General features: G+C 41.5%; 1 long non-coding RNA gene across 1 annotated transcript in view, besides 2 other annotated features; it reads left to right on the forward strand.

Annotated features, from left to right (window-relative positions):
• JAZF1-AS1 (JAZF1 antisense RNA 1) overlaps positions 1-24,245 on the forward strand; it is a 60,921-nt gene that overhangs the window by 3,560 nt on the left and 33,116 nt on the right. Inside the window, exon 2 of the long non-coding RNA NR_034097.1 lies at positions 1,654-1,736. This is a non-coding gene — a long non-coding RNA (JAZF1 antisense RNA 1). The remainder of the gene's footprint in view (positions 1-1,653; positions 1,737-24,245) is intronic.
• Positions 3,140-3,340: a silencer, noted in NCBI's record as "peak6455 fragment used in MPRA reporter construct". NCBI's record gives its function as "represses an SCP1 promoter by STARR-seq MPRAs in K562 erythroleukemia cells {active_cell/tissue: K562}" and the evidence as "EXISTENCE:reporter gene assay evidence [ECO:0000049][PMID:32103011]".
• Positions 23,835-23,914: an enhancer, noted in NCBI's record as "active region_25794". NCBI's record gives its function as "activates an Ori minimal core promoter by ATAC-STARR-seq in GM12878 lymphoblastoid cells {active_cell/tissue: GM12878}" and the evidence as "EXISTENCE:reporter gene assay evidence [ECO:0000049][PMID:35858748]".

Here is a 24,245-nt window from a genome sequence, read left to right on the forward strand (position 1 = left end):
AAGGAGCAGATCATGAACCTTGGTCTTCTTCAGCTCATGCAAGTCTGTGGACGCTTACAATGTCTGATGTTCCCTGGCTCTTGAATGCTAAGGCTGCCACTTCCACCAACAGCAACCTTGGGCTCAAAGGGATGCCTTCTTTTTAGGCTCCATCTTCTTCTAAGGAGGATGATTTCTATTCCAGGTTTTATTGTTTAATATTTATGTAACCAAGTTTTCTGTATTTATTTTATTCCAGCTCAGAAATGAATCAGCTTTATCTGCTCTCTGGTGATTAATTCTCATTTTGTCCCTCAGTCTCATTTTGCCTAGGATTAAGAGCTAGCCTTAGAATGAGTAATGGGGGTATTCTTATTAGTTGCCACCAGTGACCTCATGAGTGTTAGCCCCTAGCTCTCCACCTGGCTGCTCCTGCCTACTGACTGTATACGTAGTTTTGGCATTTATTTCCAGTTCCTTGAAGGACTTTTCCAGAACTAAAGTAGTAAAACACCCACCCAATCACTGCAGTTCTAATTGAGCATCCTGGATCCATTCCACTACATTATGTGCCACACTACTACCCAGATGATAACTCCAAACCCAAATCTGATGGGAGCCACTGCTGCTCAGGCCACCCCAACCTGAGTTTTAGAATAATGTTAACAGAAGCAGCTAAGCAATTACTGTTTCATTTTTGCCTTTAACCTATCTTGATTGAACATCTATGCAAAGCTCCTGTTACACAACTCCAGAAGGCTCTATTTATATAGGCAACTGCATGAACAGTGACCCTGGGATCTGTGCAGCCTTGCAGTCCTGTTCCACTGCGCAAGATATGAGGGATACAATTTGAATAAGACAAGCCCAGTCTCTCCTCACGTGAGAGAGCACTAGGTGCTTTGCAAAGTCCTCCTCAATCTATTCTAAGGGCCTGCTAGGGGTGGCTTGGTTGGACTCCGTGTACTACCCTCTTGGCTGCTCTGGTATCTATTATTTCCCTTCTTTCCAGCTTTGGCTCACTCAGATGATAACTTCAGTTGCTGTTGACTGTAATGGAGCCACTAAGGCCACTAATGCTTGTAAAAGACTGCACAGCCTTTTTTGCCCAAAGATGTGTTTTTAGACGTCACTGATTCTCACCCAGCAATGCACAGTCTTGAGGATTTCTATAACTTCAAAGGCTACTAGCACGTTTTTTGTTCTAGCTTTTTGAGGTTTTACCAGCTCACACTATTGCAGTCCGTTTCCTCTGGACTCAGACAAGTATCACTGGAGATTGGACTAGAAGATCAAATTGGGAATACTCCATGATCTCATCTCCCCTGCTAGAATGTCTTAGTGGTAACTTTCACTACCAGAATAGGCTTCCTGCTTTTCAGTGACCAAAATTGATCCCAGCCTTACCTCCTACAGTTTCCCCACATGTACTGACAGTTCAAGATGTACCAAATCATTTTAGTTTTCTTTCTTCTTCTTCTTTTTTTTTTTTTTTTTTTTTTTTTAAGATAAGATCTCACTCTGTTGCCCAGGCTGGAGTACAGTGGCACGATCACGGCTCACTGCAGCCTCGACCTCCTGGAGTCAAGCGATCCTCCCATTTCAGCTTCCTGGGTAGCTGGGATTACAGGTGCACGCCACCATGCCCAGCTAATTTTTTGTATTTTTTTATAGAGATGGAGTTTTGCCATTTGCCCAGGCTGGACTCGCAGTCCTGGACTCAACCACCTTGGCCTCCCAAAGTGCTGGGATTACAGGTATGAGCCACCGCATGCTGTCATTTAGTTTTCAAAATGCGCTCACTTGTTCAACAAAAACCACCTTGCCTTTCTTTGCAAATATTGTGTAGCCTGTCTGGAACATTCTTTTTCCCTCTTCCCTATTCCCTCCCCCAAATACTCTGCAGCAACTCAGCATGTCATCTCCTCCAGGAAGCCTTCCCTATAACTTCCTCCTCTTCCTTCCCTGCTGAGCTGGATGCCTGTCATCTGTGTTCTAGCCAAATTCCCTCTGCATCAGATTCTGACTGCTGGCTTACTGGTCTTCCATCTCCTGTGTACCAGTAGTTCTCAAACCTTTTGCTCAAGAATCCACTTGAACCTTGATCTCATTAATATTTATATTTACTTATAAATTATATACAGGTGCTACTTTTCACATATAGTATGTATATTATAGGCTGGGCACAGTGAGTCACGCCTATAATCCCAGTACTTTGGGAGGCTGAGGTGGGAGGACATTTGAAGCCAGGGGTTTGAGACCAGCCTGGTCAATATAGCAGGACCCTATGTCTGGCAAAAAACTAAAAAATTAGCTGGGTGTGGTGGTACACCCCTGTAATCCTGGCTATTCAGGAGGCTGAGGCAGGGGGGAATAACTTGAACCCAGAAGTTCAAGGATACACTGAGCTATGATCACACCACTACACTCCAGCCTGGGCTACAGAGTGAGATTCTATCTCTAAACCAAAACCAAATGTAGTATGTGTGTTATGAAATAAATCAAATTCTTTTTAAAACGCAGGAATAGAAGGCCTAGTATCTTCATACCATACCGCAGAGTATTGCCTGGCCCACATCCTGGGGTGAATGCATTCCTCCTTGGAGGCCTCTGCACTTGATGGTAGCCTCCTTGAGAAAAGAAACTTTTATTTTTTTTTTTTTAGCCGGAGTCTCGCTCTGTCGCCCAGGCTGGAGTGCAGTGGCACCATCTCGGCTCACTGCAACCTCCGCCTCCTAGGTTCAAGCAATTCTGCCTCAGCCTCCCGAGTAGCTGAGACTACAGGCGCCCACTACCACACCTGGCTAATTTTTTGTATTTTTAGCAGAGACGGGGTTTTGCCATGTTAGCCAGGATGGTCTCAATCTCCTGACTTCATGATCCGTCCACCTTGGCCTCCCAAAGAGAAACTATCTTTAGGCCTGCACTGCTCAATAAAAGTTGCATGGGAGTATAGTTCAGCACTGTGATAAGGCAGTGTGCTAAGACTTCAGTTTTCAATGTTAAAGCAATTTCTAACAATTTGTTACTGTTCCTCTCTAATGTAGCATCGAGGAAAGATAGTCTTCAATCTCTTAGCTTGGATAGATTACAAGTCATTCCTTCCCGTGGTTGTGGACACACTTTTGACGAGACCTCTTTCTAAGGTCTAGCACAGGGACTGTGCTGCGCCAATAACAGGCACTTAGAAAATGCTTGTCTCATTTGTTTTGATGGTGCTAGTTTACTAGTCTCTGCTGACGCAAAGCCATTCAACTGGACAGAGATAAGCAGGGAGCCATTCAGCAATGACATGAGATCTGACACTAGCTCTCCTTTCGTAGACTGACTACGATACCTTTCCCTTTACACAGATGTTCAAATTCATTATGGTGATTATTTTAAATAACTATTACCACATTCATTGAGTGCCTACTATTGGACTTGATGCCTTAACAGAGAGCAGTTCTTAAATCCTATGAGGTAGACAAATGCTGTTATGCCCAAACTATGGATGAGAAAAACAAGACCCTGGGAAATAAGGTAACTTGCTGAGGTCCTTAAAGCTAGTAAGTGCTGGAACTAGGATTGAACTCAGCTCTGTGTGACTCCAGAGTCCTGGCACTTAACATTCTACCCGTACTTGAATTTGTGGATTATAAAACACTTTTGTTCTCTCCCCTTGAATCTGGGGGCGGGCCCATGCTCACATAAATCACAGAAACTAGGCTAGAGGGGCAACAGCATCCTAGTTTGCCAAATGCACTTAGGTGAGGATACTGAGAATCAGGATGGGGAATTGATGATGGAGATGTCATGAGGCCTCCAGCAGGAACTGAAGCTCTTGGCTTGTCTTTTGCCCTCTGCTTCTCTATTGGGAGGTCCTCTCATTACTGTTACCAAGCTTGTTTCTGGTCTTAAATACCTTATTTTAAAACTAAACTTTATAGAGACGTCAGACTTTTAAAAGATACCCTTGGGTTGCTCTTCACCCTGTTCCTGACAACCTCCACTCTGCGCCTTCCTGCTGGTGATTTTGGGGTGGAGTAGGGAAAACAGGCATCACCTCTCATGAGGAAAGGTGACCCTTTTGCTTTTGTCATGCTCTTTATCTTTGTCTCCTGTTTTGTAAGGACTTAACTCATGTTGCCTTTCAGCTAATTGTTTGGCATAATTATATTTTCTGTTGCAATTTTTGTTCCCAGAGTCACAGAACAAACAGTCCCATTAAACGTCATCTCAATGGGCTCTGCAGCTCAATCCTTTCTTTTCCAGATCTGGACCAATGTGGAGGCTACTTTTGCCTTTCAGAAAATGGACCCAGATTCCAGTCATTTCTCTAGGAAATGACTTTTCCCCTGGGTTTTATAACTCAATTTGCCTTTCTGTAATTTTCATCCCATTATGTGTTTGCCAAGATAAATGATTCTTTCTTCTCTGTATTACCTTATATATGTAATGACTTTTCTTATTTATAAGGCCTCAAACTCAGAAGCCTTAGGGTCAGACACAGGATGCAATGAGAGAAGAGGTGTGTGAATGCACCTTTGTATTGTGTGAATGGTGGGGCAATGGTGACCTGGAGAGAACTGTTCTTTTAAAACACTGGAAGGAAAACACATTCCACCTGCAACCCACAGTTGGCCCATGAACCTTCCAGTTTGCACCCCCTGTTTTTCCTTCCATGCCACGGTGCCCAACTTAGATTACTGTTATTGCCACAACAGCCCAAAAATATCCGGATTAATTATTTCTCATCACTATGAGATTAGATGTAATCTAATTCTTGTTGTTAACAATTCAAGAAGGGTCATTTGCACCTTAAACACATCTTGAAGATAATATCTGAGCTGCCCAGGTAAACAGTCATATCAGAGGGAATAAATAGTTGATAAGGACTGCCTTCCTGGTTCTAACACTTCTTGGTTCTCAACATCGTTCTATATTACCCAGTGCAGATCAGAGTCATAAGAAAATTTTCAACAAGCTGACTATGTAAGTACTACAAATTTATTTAAAGCGAGTGCAGTAAAAGATAATGTTGTATAGTGCCTGACCAGTCTTCATCTATAAAATAATTAACAAAACCCTTCAGTTGGTAGGTTTGGATGGCCCAGTCTTTGCGTATTCCCTCTCCTGTGTCTGCAGCTCAAAGTCACATTACTTGCAAGGTATTCTCTTTAAAAATGTGTATAGTAATCAAACATTTTAGATAACGGTCTTCAGGGTTAGAGCCAACTCATGACTCCAATTTCTTTCTCTCTCTTCCGCCATTCCCATCCTCACTCTCCCCGTCCCAATCCAATATCCCTCCCCTGCTGCCTTTCCCTGCCATCCCCAACCCCCTGAAAATATGGTGCCTTTTCAAGATTGATTCTTGAATGGGGCCTAGGCATGGAGAGTGTTCGGTATTGTGTTTGAGAAAGTTGCACCAGAGACAATAATTCAGGAAAGAAACAAGAAAAAGGAAATTAGGAAAGAAAACTAAAAAGGGGCAGAAGCAAAGGCTGAGAGGATCTTTTCTGTCTTCTCTCTCCTGTGCACCAAAGTCCTGCAGCAGAGGAATCCTCTCTTCAGATAATCCCTACTCAGTCTCTTATTCTTATGAACCACAATCAAATTTGCATCTTATCTTCCTTATTCTATACCCTGATCCAAAAGACTGATCAGAGGAAAGGTCTTCACAAAAGTCCAGCATCGAAAAGACCTAGATCCTAATGCCAACTCTATTTTTTGACTTACAGATCATTAACCTTGGGGAAGTCACTCAGTCTCTCTGAGACTTCTTACCTACACACTGGATTTAACAGTACAGATCCTACCCAGCTTCTGGGGATGAAATGAAATGCTGCATGTGAAAACACACTGGAAACTATAAAATGCTAATCAAAGATGAGGTATTATCATTATTATCTCTGAATCCAGTGCTACAAATGCTATGGCATGTGGTCATCTAACTAAATTTTCTTTGATTTTTTGGAGAAGGGTGTGGGTGTTACAGGCTGGTGCAGCAATAAGGTAGAGCTTTAAGTTATAGGGAGGAAACTTTAAGTTGTCAACCATTGCTATTTCAGAGACATCATGAAGATGTGAAATCACTTTGGAGCATACCTGCTTTATTTTGAGATGAGCCATTTGAGTGGACCCTTCTGAGTGATGTAGACATAGTAAGACACTTATTATTCTGGGGGGAGTGCAACAGGTATTGTTTTAGTTTTGGTTTTGGTTTGCTTGACTAGGGCTTGAGGCTTCAGCACTGCAGGCAGCTGGAATCTTGCTGCCAAAATGATTGGTTCGGGAGGTGGGCATGTGGCCAGAAAGTCCCATCAGAGTTAAGTTCAGTGCTTTTATCCAGTGGTTATCTGCATTTCTATCCAGATAAGCCTCTGCCTGCTCTCTTCTTATCATTTGAGAAGGAAGCACGTAGCCCAGTTGATGCTGGCAGACATCTTAAGACCATGAGGGACTTCTGCCTGAGGACAAAGCCAACTTGGCAGAATGCAGAATTAAGAGATCTCAGAGAAACTGAACTGGAATTCTGATAGAACTGTGCCCAAAGCCCACGTTGGTCTTATGCTGTTACATGATCCAGTGATTCATCTTTATTGTATAAGCCAGTTTGTGTTGGGCTTTAGAGTACTAGATAGTGACGGCGAAGTCATTATCCTAAATGATACAGAGTTTGAAGGTTTCTGGAGAAGGGGTGGGAAAGTTTACATAGTGTTCAGGGAGCTTACTGGAGGAAGCTGCCCGTCTCTTAATCTTTTTTAATGAGGTTCACAGCAGTGAACCTGCCTCTGATGGGCTAAGGTGGGACCACCTATGATCAGCTGATGGAGAGAACACTGCAGGAGGGAGACCTGAGCCATCACAGAGGCAGGAAGGCTGAACTGGGTCCTGGCATTGGCGTGAGGCTGTGGATAAAGCTGTGTCACTAAGTTGATGGCCATGAGTATAGTCCGTAAATACGCCTATGTTCAGTTTTCATAGATTCTGCCAAACCATTTTCCGAGCCAGCTTAGCAATTTACATACTCACCATCACTGGTTCAGAGTTCCCAGAGCCTTTTACATTTACATTGTCTATAGGCTAAATACATTTCAATTCTCTTAAGTTTTTTTTAAATGCAAGTGTAACAAAAGTGCCTGAGTACCTGCTGGCTGTAACCTATTCTCCATGAAATAGGAATATCTCAGCACCCCCATCAAAATTTTCCTTCCTGATATGGCAGTCATGTGTGGAGAGAGAAGGGGAAGGAGTGTGTGGGGGGGCAAATGATGAAGGGGTGGGTAATGGTAGGGAAGGTTGTTTTCTGCACAAATAACAGCCAGTCAAAAACATTTTATTACAATTAGGTTGATTCCATGTCTTGGCTGTTGCAAATGGTGCTGCAATAAACATGAGAGTGCGCATATCTCTTTGACATGCTGATTTCATTTCCTTTGAATATATATCCAGTAGTGAGATTGCTAGATCATATGGTAGTTCTATTTTGAATTTTTTGAGGAACCTCCACACTGTTTTCCATAATGGCTGTACTAATTTGCATTTCCATCAATAGCGATAAGAGTTCCCCTTCACCTGCATGCCACCATTTGTTATTTTTTCTTTTTGCTAGTAGCCATTCTAGTTGGGGTAAAGTTATATCTCACTGTGGTCTGATTTGCATTTCCCTGATGATTACTGATGTTAAGCATTTTTCATAAATATCATCAAGGAATGAAGGAATAAAGAAAATATGGTATTTTCATTGCAATAGCCTGAGGAAAGAAAGAAAGAGAGCAGAAGAGAGAGAGAGAATGTGTTACCTATAAACAGTGGAATACTATTCAGCTATAAAGAAAGAATGAAATCCTGTCATTTGCAGCAACATGGATGAACCCAGAAGACATTATGCTAAGTGAAATAAGCCAGGCACAGAAAGACAAATATTGCATGATCTCACTCAAGTGCAACTTAAGGAAGTTGATCTCCCCAGCTGCAGAGGCTGGGGAGGAAAAAGGGGAGGGTGAGATGGGGAGAGATTGGTCAATGGGTACAAAATTATAGTTAGATAGGAGGAATAAGTTCTGGCATTCTGTTACACAGTGATTCTGGCTAACAATATTATATTGTATATCACAAAATAGCCAGAAGAAAGGATTTTGAATGTTCTCACCACAAAGAAATGATAAATCCATGAGGTGATGGATATGCAGTAAGATTTGGTATTATTTATACTATTGCTGGTTAATTTTATATTAATTTTTACTTAAAATAATGCCTCAGTTATCAAAAAAACTTATTTCATTGGACTTAGTTGACTAGTGGCACCAGCTTGTTAAGCATGAAAGATTTACTTGAAGATGGAGGAGAGAGTTGATATAAATTTAATTGACTTAATATTTTCATTTAAATGTATATCTCCTAAAAAGCAAAACATGCAAACTGACAAAACTATGCATGTTCACTCAGGTACTACCTAACATATTCCTATGTTGCCTTTCATGGGTTCTATCCTTGGAGTAGGGGGTGGCAGCCTCATGAATTGGAGTCCATGTTTCCAGTGGCAATGTCTTTCACTGTCTGTAGGTAGGCTTGTCATATATGCTAGATTAGTGGGATTATTATCAGTTAGTGTTACCTGCCAGCCTTTGGGAGCTAATGAACAGAGCTCAGGAGTTTCTGAATTTTTCTATGAACTTGTTCCTGCCATGTTACAGTTGGCACTTTCAAGAATTCACATTTTCGTGCATTCATATACATCTTGTGGCAGAGACTTCTAGGTGCCTATCCAATATCTATTCTCACCTTGCTCCTTAGTAACAGGATGAGAATAAAAAACATACTGACTCAACTACTGGGCATTGTTTTCACTTGGCCCATCTTCCCTTCTGTTTCCAAGAGCACAACATGACAGCCGGAGCAACAGTAGCTATCTTATGAATGTGAGAATGTGGATCATACTAGATTGATGAACTGCAATTGCCCTATCAGCCCAGCACTGCCTACTTCTGGAATTCTCGTTGTGTGTGAGAAAAATAAATTCCTATTTATTTAAACCACTGCTTCTCAGATTTGTATTACTCATAGTCGAATGCAATTCTGGTATTCTAAATATTCATTCAATGTAATCCCCCATTTGATTTGTTCAACATTTTACAATTGACTTGGAACAGAAGTCTATACAACAGAAATGCATACAACTCACTCAGGCTCCCTGACCTGGGTCATGAAAGACTAAGCTTTAAAGGCTCTGCCAAGCCAAATTATCCACTATAGAACAAGGGGCTGAGTGGCAGGGCAGGTCCTTCTACTCTAAGGTAGCGTCGGGAAGTCCACAGGGTGGAATCAAAAGTTGAGGTCTGAGGGTCATCATAGCAGAGCTCCCTGCCTGTTGTCATAGCAGGAAGGAGTGATCCATGACAATGTGTTGCAACAAATACGAAACTTCCCCCTGCTTTTACCCTAGAGACTTGCAGGCCTGCCTGTTGAGTTAATCAAGCCCCCTGAATCTAAATGTCGAGAGCTTTTGGAAGCTGTAAAGGATTCTGTCATCAGCCCATAGGCACTTTCTCACTGCATCTGCCTTTTTCCACCTGGCCTCAGACTAAGGATGATTCTCCACCCTCTTTCCCCCACCCCCACCCCAACACCACCACCATTGGAAAGATCACTGCACTTGTGAAAGGAGCAGCAAAAATGCTCACTGTGGCAGCTCTCACTCCCATTCCCTTTCTATCTCCCACTCCATTTCCCCTTTTTAAAATTTTGTTCCCCAAATCATTATTTTATGTTATGTTATTTTATTTGAGATGGAGTCCTGCTCTGGCCCCGGCTGGAGTGCAGTGGTGTGATCTCAGCTTACTGCAGTCTCCACCTCCTGGGTTCAAGTGATACTCGTGCCTCAGCCTCCTGAGTAGCTGGGATTACAGGAGTGCGCCACCACACTTGGCTAATTTTTGTATTTTTAGTAGAGATGGGGTTTCGCCATGTTGGCCAGCCTGGTCTTGAACTGCTGACCTCAGGTGATCCACCCGCCTAGGCCTCCCAAAGTGCTGGGATTACAGGCATGAGCCACTGCGCCCAGCCTCATCGTTTTATTAATAAAAAAAAGTGTTTACCAATAGAAAATGTTTGTAGGAACTAAAACAGGTCAACTGCATACTGAAACATTTTGTGAGTACAATTTCCCAAAAGCAATTTATAGATACAGAAAACTAAAGCAAACTGAAGATTAAAGCAGGGGGAAAAAAACAAAAAAGGAAGAAATGAGTTTAAACTTAAGCAGGGCTGATCTACCTGCTTGGTAAATGAATCAGACCATTTCCAAAATCAAGAACTTTTTTTTGCTCTGCCAGTTATTAAATTAATTATCTGAGCTATATCCCTTAATACCAGAGTCATTTTAGTAATGGTATAGCTTATAAACTTTTCACTCTCCTGTGGTTTCTTAAGCTGAGCTGGAGCCAGCTTTTCAAACTACATTTAACTCAAAGCGCTGTTATAGTGTGTTATAGACTTCAATGGAAACTAGAGCAGGTGTTTCCCTGGACCACCATGCTAGGTGTATACTCAAAGTGGTAATGAGGAATGAAGCTCATTTTCTGTGTCCTGACTCCCACAATCTCCTCCTTCATTTTCTGTTTTATTTTTATTTTTTTGAGACAGGGTCTTGTTCTGTCACCCCGTCTGGAGTGGAGAGGGGCAATCATGGCTTACTGCAACCTCGATCTCCTCGAATCAAGCGATCCTCCCACCTCAGCCACCTGAGTAGCTGGGACTACAGGCACAAGCCACCATACCCAGCTAATTTTTTGTAAACATAGGGTCTCACCATGTTGCTCAGGCTAAATCTCCTCCTTCTGGTCCAAACAAGACAGGGAATTGCTGGGGGCCCTATAATGGCTTCCATTCCTACAAGTGTCAATGTCTGTCCCTGGCAGCCCCACCTGGAGAATCCAGGGGTTCTTGCAGGGTCCTGCATGTGTTGTCATAATGCTGCTCCACTCAGAGCCCTGTTCCAAAGTCACACCAAGCCCACTGAGGCCTCCTCTACCCTGGGAATGTGAGTGAGGAGTCCCAGCAGCACAGGGCACGTCAGGCTGCCCCTAGATCTGTCATCTCCAAATGTGCTCAGGGGGCCCATTTTTTCTTGCTCCCACCAGCCACACAGGAACTGTCACTGGAGCAGGCCTAGTGACATTTGTCTGGATTCCTCTGATGGGGACCTGAGCCCCACAAGTTAGGTCACAAAAGCACAGTTACTTAACAATTGAATCAATCCTTCTGAACCTCATTTTATTTATCTGCATGATGGGGATAAATAATGGTACCTTTACTTTGCTGTCATTATCACCACAGCCACAACTACCATTTTTTCCCGTTTACTACAAGACGTGTATGTCTTAGTGGTTAAACATACAACCTGTAATGCCAAATTGCCAAGGGTGAAGCCACACTTCTGCTACTGAATTCCGAGATAACCACAGCAAGCTGTTTGAGTGCTCCGTGCCTCAGTTTCTCCATTTGTAAAATGAGGAAAAGAAGGAGCCTACGTTACAGGGCCGTCATGGAGGGAAAGGGAGCTAATGGTATGAAAACACTTGGAGAAGCCCACAGCATGAGAGATAGTGAACGCCAAGCCCATGCAAGCCCTAAGTAAGCCGGCAGGTGCCAGAGTGTTTGCCAAGCACAGAAAGCTCTGTTTACCCTCCCACAGAGGCAGGTACCGTTTATTCCCATCTCACAGATAAACGAACTGAGGTTCAGAAGGGTTAAATGATTCAAATGTTAAGTAACTGTGCTTTTGAGCACCTGGGGGGTTTTCTCCTTTTCTCCTTTGCTTTGAGAAGCCCTAGATCTCATGGGTCGGGGGTCATCACCCATACTTCCCAAATTGATATTGGATTTCACAAGTTGTTTCCCTATACCTCAAACCTAAACTGAAAATACGTGCCTTCACCTTGTCCCAGTGCTAACTCCTACCCTTCACCCACAATTAGGCGCCTCCTCCCTCCTGGGGCCACATTAGCCAGGGTTCCTGGTGAAATCCTGGCTGGGGGAGATGCCTCACTGCAGAGAGAGGGGTGTAGTCCCTGCTGAGAGTGAGGCCTGCAGCCCTGCAGGGACAGTTGGCTGCCTTGGGTGATAACTGCTCCAGTTTGCAGGAGTGGCTGCAGACTGTTTCATTTCTTCTCCAGTTCACACTTCATAATTAGCTATAACCTCACCACCTTCTTAAATTTCCTGTTCTAGGTTTCTAGCGCACAAAACGAAAATCTCCTTCTAACATTTCTTCTTCACATACTTCTGGGAAAGAAGCACTATCTCTTTTTCTGAATGGTTTGATCCTGAACATGGAGTTAGTGCCTACTTTTTCCACAATGACTTTGGGTTTTTTTTTTAATTCTCTCTCAGCTTCCATCTGAACTTCAAGTCTGGCTGCTCTGGACCAGAGATTAGCAGTTCTCACACCCAGCAGCTAATTGCTCGTGTCAGAGAATGTTATTTATCTACTCTCCCCTGAAGTTTAGAGTAACATGCCTGCAAAATGCCAATAGGGCTTAGTATGGTTTCTTTATCTTCTTCCCCAAAGAATTTGATGTGGAAATGGATTTTCTATCTAGTGACAGTTCTCAAAATGTATTACAGTTCTGAAAAGTACATCATGAAAAGTAAGTCCCGCTTCCAATTCTGACCACTCCCTCCCCAGTGTGCCCCTTCCCAGAGGCAGTCACTATTACTCACTTTTTGTTTTGCCTTCCAGATACGTACAGGCCCATGTGTATGTCCCTTGTAACCAAGGGGTAGCATGATATTCACATTGTCTGAGACTTTAATGTGTTTCATTTAATAATACGTCATGGGGATCTTCCCGTATGAAAATGTGTAGGTGCTCTTCATTCTGTTAAATGGCTGCGTTGTATTCCATTATATGTGGAAGTACTTGTATTAGTTTCCTATTGTTTCCATAACAAACCATTGCGAATATTGTGGCTTAAAACAATACATATTTATTATCTTATGGTTCTGGAAGTGAGAAGTCCAAAATTGGTCTCACTGGGTGGAAATCGAGGTGTCCTCAGGAATGCATTCTTTCTGGAGGCTCTAGGGCAAAATCCATTTTCTTGCCTTTTCCAATGTCTAGAGGCTGCCCCCATTCCTTGGCTCATGGCCCCCATTCACCAATCCTATCGTTGTGACTTTTGTGTCTGTCATCACATCTCATTCTCTCTGGCTCTTACACTCCTCCCTTGTGATTACATTGGGCCCTCCTGGATCAACCAGGATAATAGTCTCCCCATGTCCAGATGCTTAATCAAGATCCAGCTGAAATGTCTCTTTTGCCATGGAAGGTATTCACAGATTCCCGGGATTAGGATGTGGACATCTTTGCAGGGGACACTATTCTGCCTACCACAGTATCCTGGTTTATTTTATCTGTTTCCTACATATGAGCTTTTAGATCATCTTTTATGACAAGCAGTGCTTCAGTGACTATCCTTCATTTTGCTTGAGGAACTCTGAATGCACAATATCACTAAACCATTTAGAAGGTAATATAATTTACTCTCTTATCTGTGATTGCTAGGATTGGATCCTTGACTTTAACAAAGACTCTGAGTCTCAGGAAGTGGTTTTATATTCATGGAACTGAAATAATTTATTTGGTTAAAAACCCAATACTCTAAAGCTGTGGCTACTTTAATTTAAATTTAGGTAATTCAAAATTAAATAAAATTAAATATTTAGTTTCTCAGTCACACTAGCCACATTTCAAGTGCCCAGTAGCTACATGTGGCTAGTGACTGCCACATTAGAAAATACAGATATAGAACAGTTCCTTCATTGCAAAAAAATTCCATTGTACAGTGTTGGTACAACGTGATCTTTTAATCCACTATCAAATTAGGACCAATCTGTTGCCTGGACTGCATTTAACTCATTCCTATAGAGTGAATGTTTATGTCCCCTAAAATTCATGTTTTGAAACTTGATCCCCCAGGTAGTAGTATTAGAAGGTAAGGCCTTTGGGAGGTGATTAGGTTATGAGGGCAGACCCTCATGAATGGAATTACTGACCTTATAAAAGAGACCCCGGAGAGCACCCTCACCCCTTCCTATCTCTATGTGAGGGCACAGTGAGAAGGAGCCATCTACAAACAAAGAAGTGGGTCTTCACATTCTGCTGATGTCTTGATCTTGGACTTCCCAGCCTCTAGAACTGTGAGAAATAAATATAAACGGTTGTTTACAAGCCACTCGGTCTTTGATATTCTGTTATTGCAGCCTGAATAGACTAAAACACCACTAATTCAATTAATATTTATTAAATGCCTACATCGTATGAAGCATTGCATCTCCTAGATACTCCAGGGATACAAGGACTTTTTTTTAAAGGATCCTGTCTCAGGTACATCACATATCAATGGAGGAAAACAGAAATGTTTTCTGGACTTGCCCCAGGAACACCAACCAACTATAACCAAGAAAATAACAAGTACGATAAGTTCCAAAAGAACTTAGAAGCACAAAAGAAGTACATATATTGTGTGAGTAATCCTGGAGGCAAGAATATATAAATTCTTTTCTGATCTTTAAAAATAGCTTGGTCATTGTCCATTGTTCTGATGCTTTTGAAATATTGAAATATTCATTGACATTTGATATGTAAATAATACAATGAATAAGATTTAAAGGCTTTTTTTTTTTTTGAGACAGTCTCTCACTGTTGCCCAGGCTGGAGTGCAGTGGTGCAATCTCCACTCACTGCAACCTCCGCCTCCCGAGTTCAAGCGATTCTCCTGCCTCCCAGCTAATTGTTTGTATTTTTAGTAGAGACGGGGTTTCACTACGTTGGCCAGGCTGGTCTTGAACTCCTGATCTTGTGATCTGCCCACCTCAGCCTCCCAAAGTGCTAGGATTACAGGCTTGAGCCACCGCGCCCGGCCTTAAATAAGGCTCTTAATAAGGCATTATAGAGAAGCAATTACAGCACAGATTCTGGAAAGGGACTGCACAGGGTTCAAATCTAGATTCTGCTGTTTACCAGCTATGTGACCCTGGGCATGTTACTTAACTCTTCCGGGCCTCACTTTTCTCATCTGTCAACTTGGCTCTTATCTCACAAAGTTGTTATGAAGATTAAAAGAGTTAATGTCTGTAAGTACTTAGGATGGGGCCTGGCACTTAGTACTAAGTGCCAGCCCTTATTATTTTCTAAACGTGAATAACTACAGTGCTGGAATTTGAGCAGCTCAGAATGAGTCTAAATGTTTCAATTGATTCTGAACTGACCATAGAGGAGTTGGTAGTTTGTGGAAGTACTCTAGGCTCTGAGCAGTCAGTGAGATAGGTGTGATGTATGTGTGGTTGTCTTGACTCAGGTCCAAGCTGCCCTCCCTAGACTCCTTGAGGGACAGTGACACTAAAGAAATTTGCAAGCAGAAGGCCTGAGTTTCCAGTTTCCTCTCTGACATTCACTGAGAGGGAATTCTGCACTCTCATAGTAGTTAGTTATGGCCCGGTCATTTGTAAATTTGGCCAAATACTACCTCCTCATGTTCTATGTGCTTCTTTTTTTCTTTTCTTTTCTTTTTTTCTTTTTTTTTTTTTTTTTGAGACAGAGTCTCTCTCTGTCGCCCGGCTCGATTGCGGTGCCGTGATCTCAGCTCACTGCAACCTCTGACTCCCTGGTTCAAGTTATTCTCCTGCCTCAGCCTCCCAAGTAGCTGGGATTACAGGCACGCACCACCATGCCCAGCTAATTTTTGTATTTTTAGTAGAGACAGGGTTTCACCATGTTGGCCAGGATGGTCCCCATCTCCTGACCTTGTGATCTGCCCCGCTCAGCCTCCCAAAGTGCTGGGATTACAGGTGTGAGCCACTGCACCCAGCCCCATGTGCTTATTTCTAAGTGAGATAAGTAATATGTCCTTTCATTGATTATGACGTCTCAATCTCTGAAAGATACCCCCTCGCTACAGCCTAGAAATTCAGGTTTCTATGCTGGTTACAATTGCATTCATTTCAGTTATATTTGCCTTTGGATTTCTCCAATATTCCCACTGCTTGGAGTCTGTCTTCCTATGGCATTTGTGTCTTTCTGCCCTTTAGATCATTTTTTGTAGCCTCTGCCTTTTTCTCTCACCTTTCAAGTGATGCTGGTACCCACCAGGATTGGTCTCACTAGATCATTAACAGAAACAATTAAAGGTTAGAAAACATTTAACAGATACAAAGCGCTATATAACTGTGAAATAATGCTTTGCACTATAAAATGCATATATCATTGCTTTTATTGCAATATGGGTTACCTGACTCATTTGTACCTACAAAGCCTACTTCTTAGGTACTAAATTCATCATGCAACATTTGGAAATATATATTATAAAAGCCATTTGTTGTACTGACTAACCACTTAGCACCTGCTTTTGAGTGTCTAGGGCTGTTGTTTATCTCCCTGCAACTGCCAACTTCGATCTTAAAGCCAAACTACAGAACTTTAGATTGTTTTCAACAGAGAAGACGTTGGAAAAAAAAAAGAGTAAGGAAGTAAAACACACCATGCTGCTTATATTTTCCTTAATGCAAATTAGCTAGAGTTCTTCAGAAAAACAGGAAAGATGAATCAATTTACAGGGGGTCCCACTACAGTCTGTACTTCTGCTCTGAGGCAGTTTTCAGGCACCTCACTTGCACGAGTCCTACAAGACCCTGTGTCTAATGCTGTATTCTTTTTCTTAAAGAGTTCCCCCATCAGACGTATTAGCATCAAGCACCACAAAACCTCATATCCTCTGTTGGTGCCATAGTAATTATCACATTTGGCCACTGGCAGCTGCAATGTCAGGGTGGTGGGGGCAGAGGGGTGTGTGTTCTGTGCCAAGTGTTGATCTCTGCTGTGCAGAAGATAGTGCCCTACTTGGTCCAATTGTACATGGAGTTGCTGACCCAGGGCCTAGGACACCATCTCTACTTTCATCAGGCAGCCCCTGTGGGCTGAGAACTCATTCCCTAAACTTCACTCCATATTTCTTCTTTAGAATCCTGCAGCTTTGAGAAGAGTGGCTCAAGTCAGTGAGAGAAGAGGCCATGTTTAGAAGCTATTCCTTTAATCCAGGGTTTCTCAACCTCAGTGCTACCGATATTTTGGGCACGATAATTATTTTTCTGGGGGGTTTCCTGTGTGTTACAGGATATTCAGCAGCATCTGTGGCTATTGTCCTGCTCCTGCCCCCCAAGCTGTGACAACCAAAATTGTCTTCAGGTAATGCCAAACGTCCCCTGGAGCAAAATCTCTATTCAAGAACTGGTGCTTAATCCAACATTCCAGTAAATACTCTCAGATGAAAACCCTCCTTTTCCCCTAAATAGCAAGATGCCCATCTGCTCATCTTGCTGCTCACAGGCAAGACTACTGCCACTCCAGTGCAGACAGGACTTCTGACTGGTTAATTCAACATCCAAAAGCCAATTAGTTCTTAACAGATGACATGATCTCATATGTAGAAAATCCCAAAGTACACACACACATACACACACACACACACACTCACACAATTATTAGAACTAATACACAAGTTCAACAAGATTACAGGATACAAGATCAATAAACAAAAATCAATTGTATTTCTACAATTGATTTGAATAATTGAACATGAAATTAAGAAAACAATTCCAATGAATAATTGAACATAAAATTAAGAAAACAATGCCATTTACAATAGCATCACAGGGAACAAAATGCTTAGAATAAATTTAACAAAAGAAGTACAAAACTTGGACATGGAAAGCTATAAAATAAAACATTATTGAAAGAAAGTAAAGAAGACCTAACTAAATGGAAAGACATTTCATTAGAAGATTTAATATTGTAAAAAGGTAAAACTCCCCAAACTGATGTACGGCAATACTCCCCAAATTTAACAGCATAATCCTTAGAGAAATCCCAGCTGCTATTTTTTTTTGGCAGGAATTGATAAACTGATCCTAAAATTCATATAGAAATTCAAAGAACCCAGAATAGTTGAAAAAAATCTTGAAACAGAAGAACAAACTTGGAGAACTTAAACTTTTCCATTTTAAAATGTAAGCTTACAATAATCAAGCCAGGATGGTACGGGTACAAAGATGGACAGACAGTAGTCAATGGAATAGAATTGAGAGTCCTCGGCCGGGTGCGGTGGCTCACGTCTATAATCCCAGCACTTTGGGAAGACAAGGTGGGTGGATCACCTGAGGTCGGGAGTTCAAGACCAGCCTGACCAACCAGGAGAAACCCTGTCTCTATTAAAAATACAAAATAAGCTGGGCGTGATGGCGCATGCCTGTAATCCCAGCTACTTGGGAGGCTGAGGAGGGAGGATCGCTTGAACCTGGGAGGTGGAGGTTGTGGTGAGCTCAGATCGCATCATTGCACTCCAGCCTGTGTAACAAGAGCGAAACTTCATCTCAAAAAAAAGGAAGAAGAATTGAGAGTCTTCTTGTATTTATGGTCAAATGACTTTTCAACAAGGGTGCCAAGAGAGTCAACGACGGATCTCTATAATAGTCTTATCAACAAATGTTGCTGGAACAGCGGGATACCTACGTGCAAAAGAATTAAGTTGGACCCCTACTTCACACCATATACAAATTTAACTTAAAATGTATTAAAGACCTAAATGTAAGAACCAAAAGTATGAAACTTGTAAAAGATAACATAGAAGTAAATAGTCATGATATAGGATTAGGCAATGGTTTATTAGATTTGACCCCAAAAGCACAAGCAACAAAACAAACAAAAGCAAATACATTGGACATCATTTAAATTAAAAATTTTATACTTCAAAGGACACCATCAAGAAAATAAAGACAATCCACAAAATGATGTAAAATGTTTGCAAATCATATATTTGACAAAGGACTTGTATCCAGAATACACAGAGATCACTTACAACTTAACAATTGAAAGATAATCCAGTTTTAAAAGAGACAAAGAATTTAAATAGATATTTCTCCAAAGAAGGTATACAAATGGCCAAAAAGCACATGAAAAGACGTTCAACGTCATTAGCTATCAGGAAAATGCAAATCAAAACCACAATAAGATACCACTTCACACCCGCTAGGATGGCCGTAATTAAAAAAACAAAAACAAAAACAAAAAATCTGGCAATAACAAATGTTGGCAAGGATGTGGAGAAATTGGGGTCCTCATACATTGCTGGTGGGGATGTAAAATGATGCAACCACTTTGGAAAACAGTTTAGCAGTTACCCAAAATGTTAAACATAGAGTTATAATGATCCCACAGTCCTATTTCTAGGTATTGAATTAAAATATGAGAATGAAATATGAGAAATATGAATGAGAGTTTGAAACACGTTTCTACAAACAAATGTTTATAGTAGCATTCTTCGTAATAGACACAAGTGGAAACAACACAAATGTCCATCAGCTGATGAATGGATAAATGCAATGTGCTATACTGGTATACCCATACAACGGAATTTTATTCAACAATAAAAAGGAATTCAGGGCTGATACATGCCACATCAAGGATGAACCTTGGAAACATGCTAAATGAAATAAGTCACATACAAACAACCACATTTTGTACAATTTCATTGAATGAACTGTCCAGAATTGGCAAATCTATAGAGACAGAAAGTAGATTAATGGTTGTCAGGGACTGGGGGACTGGGGGGATGGGGTAATGAAGAATGACTGCTAGTGGATATGGGGTTTCTTTTCGGAATGATAAAAATGTTATGGAAATAGTTAGTGGTGATGGTTGCACAATATTGTGAATATACTAGAAACCACTAAATTGTACATTTAAAAAATAAACTAGAAAAATGACAGAGCAATTGGAATGCAAAAAAATAAAAAAGTCAACCCTTGGCAGAAAAACAGGATTTCTATAAAAACCTCATCAGAGAGGGTCTTATGGAGAATAGAAGCTGGGGATGATGATAACCTAGCACCTCTTAGTAAGGGTTGGGGAAAATGCCTTTTCACCTTATCATACCAGCTGCACCAAGTATATCACAGGAAATGGCACTGCTGAAGGTCCCACCCTCTCCAACACCTCCCATGTTGTCTGGTCTATAAGTTAGTCTGATGAAACTTTAAGATCTCACAGGAGGGAGCCACTGATAAAACCCACAGGGAAAGGCCCAGAAAAAGACTTGCTTGCAAAGTATGATACACCAAGCGCCAGGAGCAATGGTGCAAGGATTACGTGCCTCCCTTATTCCCATAATGAAAATGAGGTTTCCGTCCAGGAACCGAACCCACAACTTACTCCTAGTTTTTACCCGTTGTAGAAATCTACTTCCTTTTAGGTTTGCCCCTTGCCAATTACATCAGAATCAGGACTGCCCTCTTTTGCAGTTTATTTTAAATAGAGAAAAAAAGAAGGTAAAAGAACAGTGCCAGGCACTGTCCAAGGCACTGGATAATACAACAATAAACAAAACAGAGCCAAATTCCTGCCCTTGTGGAACTTACATTCTAATCGCTTGATGCCAACCTTTTTTCCAGGAGCGTGACATGTTTTTTATTTAAATTCATGCCACATTGTTATGATATAGCTACTATTATAATACGCATTACCCATGAGGAAAACTGGTGGAAATAATAGTCTTATCAACAAATGGTGCTGGGACAACGGGAGGCCTCATTACACCTCTAAACTCACACTGTAAGGGGTGGGCCAAGATTTGAACCCAAGCAACTCACTCTAGGAGCTGACCACAGAACTGCTATGGCCACAGTTCCCAAACCAGGGTGCCCTAGAGGGCCACACAGAGGAAAGTCCTGCAGGATCTTTTACCTTTTGAGAGAAACACAGACCCATCTTTCAGGAACCACATTTACTACTACTATTCAGTTGTTTGGAATTAAACTAAAAAATAAAACCATTAGGTATTTCTTTTGACCTCGGGGTACTGTGAAATATTATGGAGATGCTAGAGGCACCATGAACTGAGAACACTTGGGAACTTCTTCACTATGCTATTGGCTATTTATATGTCTGGTACCTCCTCTAGACTGAGAACTCCTGAGAGCAGCCCGGCACACAGTAGGCACAACAGCAGTGTTTGTCGAATGAAAGAAGAATAGAATAGAAGTAAGAAGAGATTTATAAGGGAATTGGAGCTGAGATATGAGCAGCGGGGACAACAGAGATAAGAAATGGGAGAAGAGGGTGCAACATTTGAAGAATAAAAATTATGTGGGGAACATAATACAGCAAAAGGCAGTACAGTGAAATTGTTAAGTTGTTGCTCTCTGAAGCCAGACTACCTGACTTTCAATCCCAGCTCTACTACATACTAGCTCTGTAATCTTGGGCAAGTTATTTAATTGCCCTTGGCCTCAGTTTTCTCATCCATGACAGGGAGTTAGAGTTATTATGACTGGTTAAATGAGTCTACATGAATAGACTACTTGCAACACTGTCTAGCACACGGTAATTGTTTCATATGTATTGTTTGATATCATTATTAGTATTACTCAGGTTCTATTCAACCAGGTTTGTTTTTTCATAAATTTGAAGTCATTTGGACTCTAAGAGGATGGGACATCAGCCAAGCTGGTAGCAGCCAGGATGGCCCATTGTCCCCTTTAGCCTGGGACTGAGAGGTTTCCCTGGAGATGAGATTTTCATTGCTAAAACTGGGGAAAGTTTTGGGGAAACTGGGATGAGTTGGTCACCCTAGTGGCTGTCACCTCTAACTCCTGAAGGCTTAATTTAATTGTAGGCTTATTCCTAGCTCAGGAGAGGTCAATTCCTTGGAGGCCCAGAAGAGGCGACAGTGAAGCATTCAGGTTGTGATGTGTCTGAGCCCCATGAGGCAAGGAGTGTGCAATTTAAGGCAGTAAGGCATACATGATTTGATTTATGGCAACGTTCTAAGAACAGAGGAAAGGATCCGTCACTACCCACCTTCATAAGTGCACCAAGTTGCTCAAACACTTTATGTTTTTGAGAGTTTTCAGAGGAGGGGAAAAAGGGGAAATAATTGCTTTAATTAAATTTTATAGATAATTCAGATGACCTAAATATTATTGGACCATGTGAATGCATACACCAAAAAAGCCTTCCTCCACTCCTGTCATCTAGCCAGCCAGCTCTCTACACACAGAAACATCCTTCCAAGAGTTCTTTAGCCACATGCAAGAAAATACCAATATATATTCTTATTTTTACCTTGTTTCTGGCATTAGAGACCTTAAAGGTGGCTGCAAGCATTCTGATCACTACAGAGGCTATGCTTTAAGAAACATGCAGCCCAGAGTCAAGATCTAAAAGACTATTCCCCTTCTGAGTCCACTGACAAATTGAGGATTGGGACCTACAGAATTAAAGACAAGCCCCTAAGAGGCAGTGACTACATCAAGGCCCAGCTACCTGGCTGGCTACCTTCATAGAGGTCTCCTTTATCTCTTTACTCTCTTGCCTCCATAGAAGAACTGCAGTTTTTTACATATTCATTGTCAAGATTCACAACCACTTTTACATAGAATTGTTGGTGGTCATTTCATTTTTATTTCCTTTGTCATATTGCCCATTCAGGATGCTTGACACCTCTCTCCCCCTACGCCTACAAGTTAACCTCATGATCCCCTTTATCTCAGTTTCTAACTGGTGGTTTTTGTTTTGTCGACTAATTCTACCTTTAGGTACTTGAAACTCCTACCCCAAAAGTTATGTGGGATGGGGGAAAGATGCTGTAGGTGTGGGCTGGTTCACTCCAACATTTTGTCCAACCTCTGCCTTTGCCCTCGCGTGCCATTGCCCCACCCCTCTCTGCTTGCCATTCTTACGTCCTCTCTCTTTTTCTGTGTTTACTTCCTTCTCATATCTCAAACCTTCCACCTGAGTTCACTTACATTCTGACTGCTGTACCTTTAGAATTTCTTTGAATAAGGGACATCTAGTATTAAGTTGTGTTTTTCCTTTACAAATGTCTTTATTGCCTTCATTACTGAAAGTTATTGTCACTGAGAAATATATACAACTCTGCATTGGTAGCTATTATCTTTCAGAATAATGAAAATATCATTTCTGTTAAATGTATTTTAGACCTTATCACTTTACAGTCCAGGCATCTTAAGCTGTCTTCCATTTTTTCCCATCTTTTTTTTCGCCTCTTAGTGTATTCTGGATACATTTTTTTTTTCAGAGAGCGTCTCTGTTGCCCATTCTAGAGTGCATTGGCATGATCACGGCTCACTGCAACCTCGATCTCCCTGGCTTCAGTAATCCTCCCACTTCAGCCTCCCAAATAGCTGGACTATAGGCATGTGCCACCACACTAAGCTAATTTTTTTTTTTTTTAGTAGAGACTAGGTCTTGCTATGTTGCCTAGGCTGGTCTTGAACCCCTGAGCTCAAGTGATTCTCCCGCCTTGGCTTCCCAAAATGCTGTGATTACACTGAACCCATGGATACATTTTTCTGTATCTAATGCTACTGTTAAGCCCATCTATTGAGTTTTTAATTTGAGTTATTGTTTTCATTCCTAGACATTCTAGACATTTCTAAACATTTAGTTCTTTTTCAACTATGCTAGATCACCTTTTATATTTTCTATATCTGCAGAAATTTTTTCAAGCTTGTGTCTAATAATTCCAATACTTCAATTATTTGTGGGTCTGTTTCTACTTTCTATTGTTCCTGTTCTTGCTCATGATGCCTCATTTCCTGTGGTTGGTTATTTTTGGCTGTGTGCTTCTCATCACCTTAGAAAAGTTGTATGTGGGGGTTCTTTGAGGTCAAGGATAAAGGTGCCTCCTCTGTAGAGAATTTGTTTTTGTAGTTGCCGCATAAAAACTGTACTATTTAGCCTGGGATCACTTTAAATTCATGGCTTGAGGTTCTTGTGGACCACCCAGATGATGTAAATTTTAGGTAAAAATTTTTGTTAGAGCTAATTTGTAGTTAAAAAAAAAAAAAAATCTCAGGATGGGGATTTCCCTCTTGTTCAGCTCAGCATAAAGGCAACTTCCTTTGCATTCCCCTGGAGATGGTGTTGGTGTTGGTTATATTTCTGGTCTTGGGGTACCTTGAGTGCTTTGATTTATTTCCCTTCACCCCAACAAGTAGAATTTTGAAGTTGCTGGGACTGACAAATGATCTCAGGATAAAGATGGCTGCTGTGATCACTTATCTCTCTGGGTTCTCACTTTTGTTCAGATATCTTTTGTTATTTGTTGGATCTCCCTTGTCTTAAGGGCTAATTTAAAAATATTTTAGCCAGCATTTTAAATTGCTTTCAGTGGGAGGGTTGGTATGAATAACCTAGCTTGCCA

Source organism: Homo sapiens, chromosome 7 (genome assembly GCF_000001405.40).
Source record: "Homo sapiens chromosome 7, GRCh38.p14 Primary Assembly".
Lineage (NCBI taxonomy): Eukaryota > Metazoa > Chordata > Mammalia > Primates > Hominidae > Homo > Homo sapiens.